Source organism: Homo sapiens, chromosome 15 (assembly GCF_000001405.40).
Source record: "Homo sapiens chromosome 15, GRCh38.p14 Primary Assembly".
Taxonomy (NCBI): Eukaryota; Metazoa; Chordata; class Mammalia; order Primates; family Hominidae; genus Homo; species Homo sapiens.
The window spans coordinates 62,195,808-62,204,399 of record NC_000015.10 but is presented as its reverse complement, the minus strand read 5'-3'; the positions used below and the strand labels follow the sequence as shown (position 1 = coordinate 62,204,399).

Sequence of the window (8,592 nt, the reverse complement as noted above, 5' to 3'; positions counted from 1 at the left end):
GTCTTTTGGTGAACAGGGGAAGCTTATACACTATTGGTGGGAATGTAAGTTAGTTTAGTTCCTGTGGAAAGCAGTTTGGAAATTTCTTAGAGAACTAAAAATAGAACTACGATTCAGCCCAGCAATCCCATTACTGGATATATACCTAAAGGAAAAGAAATCATTCTACAAAAGACACCTGTACCCATTAGTTTATCGCAGCAATATTCACAATAGGAAAGACATAGAATCAACCTAAATGCCCATCAACAGTGGACCGGATAAAGGAAGTTGGTACATATGCACCATGGAATACCACGCAGCCATAAAAAGAATGAAATGATGTCCTTTGCAGCAACATGGATGCAGCTGGAAGCCATTATCCTAAGTGAATTATCACAGAAAAAGAAAATCAAATACTGCATTTTCTCAAAAGTGGGAGCTAAATATTGAGTACACATGGACAGAAAGATGGGAACAGTAGACACTGGGGACTTCAAAAGGGGGAAGAGAAGGAGAGGGGAAGCGTTTTAAAAAATAGGTCGGGCACGGTGGCTCATGCCTGTAATCCCAGCACTTTGCGAAGCCGAGGCTGGTGGATCACCTGAGGTCAGGAGTTTGAGACCAGCTTGGCCAACATGGTGAAATCCCGTCTCTACTAAAAATATGAAAATTAGCCAGGCGTGGTGGTTGGCACCTGTAATCCCAGCTACTCGGGAAGCTGAGGCAGGAGAATTGCTTGAACCTGGGAGGCGGAGGTTGCAGTGAGCTGAGATCGCACCACTGCACTCCAGCCTGGGCAACAGAGCGAGACTCCGTCTCAAAACAAAAACAAAAACAACCCTACATATTAGGTACTATGCTCACTAATTGGGTGATAAGGTCAATAGAAGCCCAACCCTCAGCATCATGCAATATATCCATGTAACTCATCTGCACATGTACACCCTGAATCTAAACTAAAAGTAAAAAAATGCCCTGGCCACATAGCAGATATGCTGACATTTCTACCATCAGACCAAGTGTTTTCGCTGTCATATATTGCATATTAAATCACTGCAGTGAAATTTTGTTTTTGTGTAAATTTTTGTGCGTGGAAAGGGTCCATAGCTTTCACTAGCCTCCTAAATGGGGTTGATGATGCTAAAAAGTTGAAAGCCAGTACTTTAGAGTTGAAAAGTTGGATTCAATGATGGGAATAGATTGATTGTTTCCAAAAGGGTTCTCTTAATATGTCTGAATAGTAATTGCTGTGCTTCTTTGTGTAGTAAAATTCTTAATGTGGCCTGATAGCTGTACAGAACATTTGAGATTGGGACTGAAAATCTTGGACATATGTCCCTCGGTAGCCATTAGATTATCTAATTGCCATTAGTGTTAAGGTGAGCATAAAGCAAATTATTAACTGCATGGCCCTAAGAAAGTCACCTTATCTCATGGGATCTGTTACCTCATTTATAAGACATTTTTAAAAGGAGGAATGTGACCTTGAAGATTTCCAAAACTCCTAGTTTGGATTCTCTAGAAAAGTGAGATCAATGCTGGACTTGGATGGAGCCCTTTTGTGGCAGAAATGAACCAGGCTTTGCATAGAAGGAAAAAGACAGAGTGTCCAAATGAGGAAGAGGCCCAGAGGATCCAAGAAGCCTCTTCCTCCATAAATGGGAAACACAAGCCTGCTGTGGCAAAGAGCCAGTGTAATCAGGGCAGGATGAGGGCTACTGTGACACTTTTTAACATCCAGGACTCTGAGGGAACAGAGGCTCAACCTCTACTTTTCACCCTGGGACTGACTTGCCAGAACACAAGTTGTCCCTCAGTGAGTGAATACACCATCTCGCCTGCACTAAGAACTTCTGATTCTCATAGGAGAAAATGCTTTGGGTCTTCCCACTTTCCACATCAGCTGGCTTGGCTGTGTCTGGAAAATGCTGCTCTCCAAGTGCCTGAAGGCACAAGTAAGTCCTAGGGTGAAGCTGTTTGGAGGGGTAAGAGAACAGCTTACCTGTACTTTAGGATATATTGGAATCCCACCCCACAACAATAACTGTCAGCATAAAAAATTTTAAACCACTATTGATACATTATTATAAACTATTTTGTACATCAGAGTTGAGTATTTGTGTCATTGTGGTTTAAATTTTCAATTTCCTAAATGAATAGTGATGTGGAGCATCTTTTCTTATGCTTATTTGCCATTCACATATTTTCTTGGGTGAAATGTCTGATCAAATCTGTTGCCATGCCCCTTTGTAAAATTGAGTTTGAGTTCTTTAAAAATATTCTAGATACAAGCCCTTTATCAAGTATATCATATGCAAATATTTTCTCCCAACATATGGCTTGTCTTTAACAGTGTATTTTAAGGAGCAGAAATTTTTAATTTTTATAAAGTCCAGTCTATCAATTTGTTCTTTTATGGATTGCATTTTTGGTGCAGTATTTTAAAAAATCTTTGCCTAACTGAAGATCACAAGGGTTTCTTCTGTTTTCTTCTAGAAGTTTTGGTGTTTTGTTTTTTTGTTTCTTTGTTTTTTTGAGACAGAGTTTCACTCTCGTTGCCCAGGCTGGAGTGCAATGGCGCGATCTCAGCTCACCGCATCCTCCACCTCCCAGGTTCAAGCGATTCTCTTGCCTCAGCCTCCTGAATATCTGGGATTACAGGCATGTGCCACCACATCCAGCTAATTTTTTTGTATTTTTAGTAGAGACAGGGTTTTAACCATGTTGGCCAGGCTGGTCTCGAGCTCCTGACCTCATATGATCCACCTGCCTCGGCCTCCCAAAGTGCTGGGATTACAGGTGTGAGCCACCGTGCCTGAACTCTCCTAGAAGTTTTATGGTTTTAGATTATATATTAGCTCCATGATCCATTTTGAGTTCATTTTTGTGTATGGTATCAAGATTTGTATAGGGCACTTCAGGTATGGCTCAAAGTTCATTTTTTGTACATGGATATCCAATTGTTCCAACATTATTTGTTGAGAAGACCATTGTTTCTCCACTGCATTGCTTTTGCAACTATGTCAAAGATCATTTGTCCATACATGTGTGTTTTTTTTTCCTGGATTGTCTATTGTGTTCCATTGATTTAATTGTTGATCTTTATGCCAACATTATGCTGTCTTTACTGTAGAAAGACAAGAAAAAGGCAAGAAAAAATAAGTCATAAAATCAGGTGGCTTTTATTTATCTTCTGACTTCTTTTTAAGGTAATTTTGACTATTCTACGTCCTTTGTACTTTCCTATGAATTTTAGAGTAAGCTTGTCAATTTCTCCAAAAGTGCTTGCTGGGATTTTGATTAGGATTGCACTGAATTTGTAGCTCAATTTTAGGCAAATTGCTATCTTAACAATACTGAGTCTTTTGAACCATGAGCCATGGAATAGCTCTCCATTTAGTTTGGTTTTCTTATATTTCTCTCAACAATGTAGTTTTCAGTTACAGATCTTGCATATCTTTTGTCAAGTACAGAACATCTTTGTCTTAGGATACTAAGTAGTTTGTTTTTTAATGCTGTTGTAATGGTATTGTTTTTAAAATTTCATTTTCTGGGTAATTGTTAATATTTGCCAATTCAGTTGATTTTTGTATACTGCCTTGTATTGTGCAAATTTGCTAAATTTCTTAATGTTAGCTGCTTTTTTGAAGACTCCATGACATTTTCTACATAGCTAATCCTGTTGTTTGTGAGTAAAGATAGTTTTATCTGCTTTCCAATCTAGATGACTTTTCTTTTATAATTTTATTTTTATAGATTTAGAGGGTACAAGCATGGTTTTGTTAAATAGGTATATTAAGGTAGTGGCGAAGTCTGGGCTTGGAGCGTACCCATCACCTGAATAGTATACACTACATTCAGTAGGTAATTTTTCATCTCCCTACCTCCCTCCCACTTTTGGAGTCTCCAATGTCTATTATTCCATTCTGTATGTCTGTGTGTGTTTATCATTTAGCTCCCATTTATAAGTGAGAATATATAATTTAGAAACTTTCTGTTTTCAAGTTATTTCACTTAGGATAATGGCCTCCAGTTCTATCCATGTTGCTGCAGAAGGCATTATTTCATTATTTTTTATGGCTGAGTAGCATTCCAAGGGATACATATAAATATATCACATTTTCTTTCTTTCTTTTCTTTTTTCTTTTTTTCTTTTTTAGATGGAGTGTCACACTGTCACCCGGCTGAAGTGCAGTGGCACGACCTAGGCTCACTGCAACCTCTGCCTCCCCGGTTCAAGTGATTCTCCTGCCTCAGCCTCCCAAGTAGCTCCGATTACAGGCATCTGCCACCATGCCCAGCTAATTTGTTGTATTTTTAGTAGAGATGGAGTTTCACCATGTTGGCCAGGCAGGTCTTGAACTCCTGACCTTGTGATTCACCCGACTCAGCCTCTCAAAGTGCTGGGATTACAGGTGTGAGCCACTGTGCCCGGCCACCACATTTTTTTTATCCAGTTGTCCATTGATGGACACTTAGGCCACTTCCATGACTTAGCTATTATGAATTGTGCTGTGATAAACATATGAGTGCGGGTGTCTTTTTGATATAATGTAGATGGCTTTTCTTTTTCTTGCCTTACTGCACTGGTTAGAATCTTCAGTACAGTGGTGAATTGAAATGGTGAAAGCAAACATATTTTACTTCTTCCTGAACTTAGGGGGAAATCATTCAGTTTTTAATAATTAAAAATGATATTAGCTATAGGTTTTTTGTAGATGTCTTTTATCAGGTTAAGGTAGTTCTCTTACTAGTTTGCTGGAGAGTTTTAGTCAGGGATGGATATTGAATTTTGTCAATATCAAATGCTTTTTCTGCATCCTTGGAGATGATTGTGTTGTTTGAAGAAACAAGCTAGCTTTGTAGACTACAAAAAATGGGAACAGAAGTTAAATTATTTATAATAATACCCTTAACTTATGATTCTCCAGAATAGGGGTCAGCAAAATTTTTCCATAGTACATATTTCTTGTAGTAAATATTTCAGATAATATTTTTGGCTTTGCAGGACTCATACAGTATCTGTCACTTATACTCCTTTGTTTTGTTTATTTTTTAAATATACCTTTAACAATTTTTTAAAAACCTATTCTTAGCTCACATTAAAAAATTTAGGTCTGGCCACTTGAGATGAAAATGTCTTTTACATTATTAAAGAGTTGGTTTTATAGTTGAAAAAAAGACGCATTATGTAGCCAGCAAAGCCTAAAATATCTACTATCTGGCTCTTTATAGAAAAAGTTTACCAACTCTCTGTTCTAAAATATAGTCACAAAATACTTTGAAAGGATATTAACATTTTCATATTTTTCAAGAGCAATTCATTGGAGAAACAGTGGTTTTCTGCATATGGGCTGGATTAAATTAAGCCAAGGTATAAGTCAGATAATCAGTGGCAGCTTTTTCTCATCTGTGGTACTAGTCTCCAAACTGGGAAATTTTTAAACGAGGGTGTGATTATTAAAAGCATGAAATGTGAATAAGCAGCTGAGTATCTCAATTTATTAGTTTGAAATTAATTCATGGTAACTCTGATTTCTCAGAGACTGAAAAACTTGGCTCCTTGGTTTAGAAGCAGTACTGGCTGAAACTTAGTTCTTTGGAAATACACAAGGTATAGTCTTGACTTGAGTCTTTAAACCAACACTTAAATAGCAGTAATGATATTCCAGGCATTATTCTAAGGGTTTTATGCTCTGGGCCTGTCTCCTGTTCTATACAAGGAGGATGACAATGATACTAATAATAGCCCTGTCATGGGGTTGCTGAGGGGATTACATATGGTTAACTTGTAATGCATATATGTAGTAAATGTGGTTAACTTGTCATGCAGTGCTGGGGCCAGAATCTGGTTCCTAACTCAGTACCATGCTATTTCTCCAATACATTCAGTGCCCCTTTCTCAGCTTCTGCCCTTTCCCTCTGGTCTTCCTCTCCAAGCCTTTTAGTGGTCCACAAATACTGATAGAGGTGAGATGTAACCAAAAAGTCCCATTTGACTCCCTTTTTAGCAAACTACAAGATTTATAGCACTTGTAAAGCAACATTCAATTTTAATTTGTGGTACAGAATAATGTTTGATCAGTGTTCATTTAAATATTGATTTAGTATCTCTTCAAGAATTCAAAACCTTATGAGTGAGGAGGGCCCGAATGTTTTAGAGAAAGACAGAGGAAGACACAGAGATAGTGAGACAAGAATATAAAACTAAACAAACTAAGAGTGGGCCAGGTGTGGTGGCTCACGCCTATAATCCTAGCACTTTGGGAGGCTGAGGCAGGTGGATTGCCTGAGCTCAGAAGTTCGAGACCAGCCTAGGTAACCCGGCGAAACCCCGTCTCTACTAAAAATACAGAAAATTAGCTGGACATGTTGGCATGTGCCTGTAATCCCATCTACTGGGGAGGCTGAGGCAGGAGGATTGCTAGAACCCGGGAGGCAGAGGTTGCAGTGATCTGAGATCATGCCACTGCACTCCAGCCTGGGTGACAGAGCGAGATTCTGTCTCTTAAAAAACAAAACAAAACAAAAAACAGAAAAAAAAGAAACTGAGAGTGAAGAAAGCTTTTACTCTTTTGTTTTCCTCTGACCTGAAAACAAACTTGAAATTTGGAAGTAGCCAAAGAGCTTTCCTTAGTTTGGATTCATCTGAATCCATTTTAAGCTGTTTGTGTTTTTTCCAAATGAACCTCTCTAGGTAACCATTGACTGCATATTAATTATGATACTGAGTACTTTTAAAGGTCAAGAAGCAAAATAACCAAAATCAAAACATGTCATTCAGTGTAAACTACCTCCGCACATTCATTCCCCCTAATGTGCACATCACCTGAGACACTTGATTTTCTTCCTGGGAAATGGGCAGGGACCCATCTGTCCAATGCTCAGTGCCACACAGATCCATACCACTACGTTACTCCTGTGGCTCGTTCCGTGCACCACTCTGGACCGGGCCTGATTTTATTCTCCCACAGACTCATGGTTCTTGTTTTCCCCACTCTTTATAAATGCAATGCTTTCTTATCAAGCCCTTATTTATACGGCTTTACTTATTATACTAGCATTTGACATATAAGGTAACTAGGGAAAACTACGCCTTTTCATTTTTTCTTGGGCTTTTAGAGAACTCATGCAATATAACCTACCAAGCATCTAAACCGCCTTTACCCACACTTGTGCTTTTCCAGGTACCCAGGCTCTGAAATGGCAACTCGTAATACACTACCTCCATTTAAAAGTTCCATCCCTGATGTCTTTAGCTATTGATCACTCAAATGCATTGTCTAAAGTAGCTTTAGTTCTCTCTCTTACCTTACTTCTTAGAGCAGAAGAGAGAGGTTCTACTATAAAAGAAATACATCTTCATTTTAGTAAAACCAGAAAATTCAGATCAGCAAATAAAGAAATATTAGAATCACCTCTAATCCCAGTCATCCGGAGTTAACTTGCTGGTGTCATTTTCCTGGATATTCTCATACTGTTTACCCATGTATAGTTTTTTTTTTTTTTCAAAAATTGGATACTTAGTACAATACTGTCTTGTAATCTTTTTCTTTTATTTTTTCTGAGTTTCTAATCTTCTACGACACTGATTTTAATGATTTTATTACAGAGGTGTGTTTTTCTTTATTTAACAAATCTACTGTTGTCCACAGGTCCCATTCCAGGAGGCTTTTCATATAGAAGATGAGTGGACACCAACTAGAGACACTGGAGCAAGGGCCCCACAGTGTGACATTTGGTTGTCTCTTGATGGGGGAGGGAAAGTGTGCTTTTGTGTACAAGTATGAGATAGGTGGATTCTATCATGTGGAGGATATTGCTTCTCAGCCTTTTGGCTAAGATCAAGTGTAGTATCATGAGGAGTTTTCTTCGAAATTGTGGATTTCCACTTATGTAACTAGTGGTGCTATTATGTGCCCAGCACGAAGGTATGTAAATGTTGCATTAAAACCTTCTTGAGGTGGCCGGGCGCAGTGGCTCACACCTGTAATCCCAGCACTTTGAGAGGCCAAGACAGGCAGATCACAAGGTCAGGAGTTCGAGACCAGCCAGACCAACATGATGAAACCCCGTCTGTACTAAAAATACAAAAATTAGCCAGGCATGGTGGCGGGTGCCTATAATCCCGCTACTCGGGAGGCTGAGGCAGGAGAATCACTTAAACATGGGAGGCGGAGGTTGCAGTGAGCCGAGATTGTGCCACTGCACTCCAGCCTAGGCAACAGAGTGAGACTCCATCTCAAAAAAAAAAAAAAAAAAAAAAAAGAAAACCTTCTTGAGGTGTTTGCCATCTCACAATGTATTTATTTCAAAGTGATGCCAAGGAGCTATAATAAAGTGTACTTATGATGACATATGATCTGACAAAGCACTTATTTGTGTGAAATGTCTTTCAAACACAATACAAATTAAAGACTATTTAGTTCTATATGTAGTAAAGATTTCTTCTTACTATCTAGGATGCAAAAATGTCATGTGATTTCGAGCCCTCACTTGTAAAGGGCTGCAAGAAGTATTATATTTTGTGTTACTATTGGAGGATCTTTCACTGTTTAGACTGTACCAGGGCCTCGGGTCTGAACTCTGAGAAAAGGGTAAAGGGAATGT

At 38.7% G+C, this 8,592-nt stretch overlaps 1 long non-coding RNA gene across 1 annotated transcript; it reads left to right on the top strand.

Moving 5' to 3' along the window:
- The first annotated feature begins 1,081 nt into the window (after positions 1 to 1,081).
- Positions 1,082 to 8,239, top strand: LOC107984784 (uncharacterized). The gene is made up of 4 exons (NR_148210.1): positions 1,082 to 2,643; positions 5,526 to 5,596; positions 7,354 to 7,471; positions 7,638 to 8,239. It is a non-coding gene; the product is annotated as an uncharacterized LOC107984784 (long non-coding RNA).
- The last annotated feature ends 353 nt before the right edge of the window (positions 8,240 to 8,592 follow it).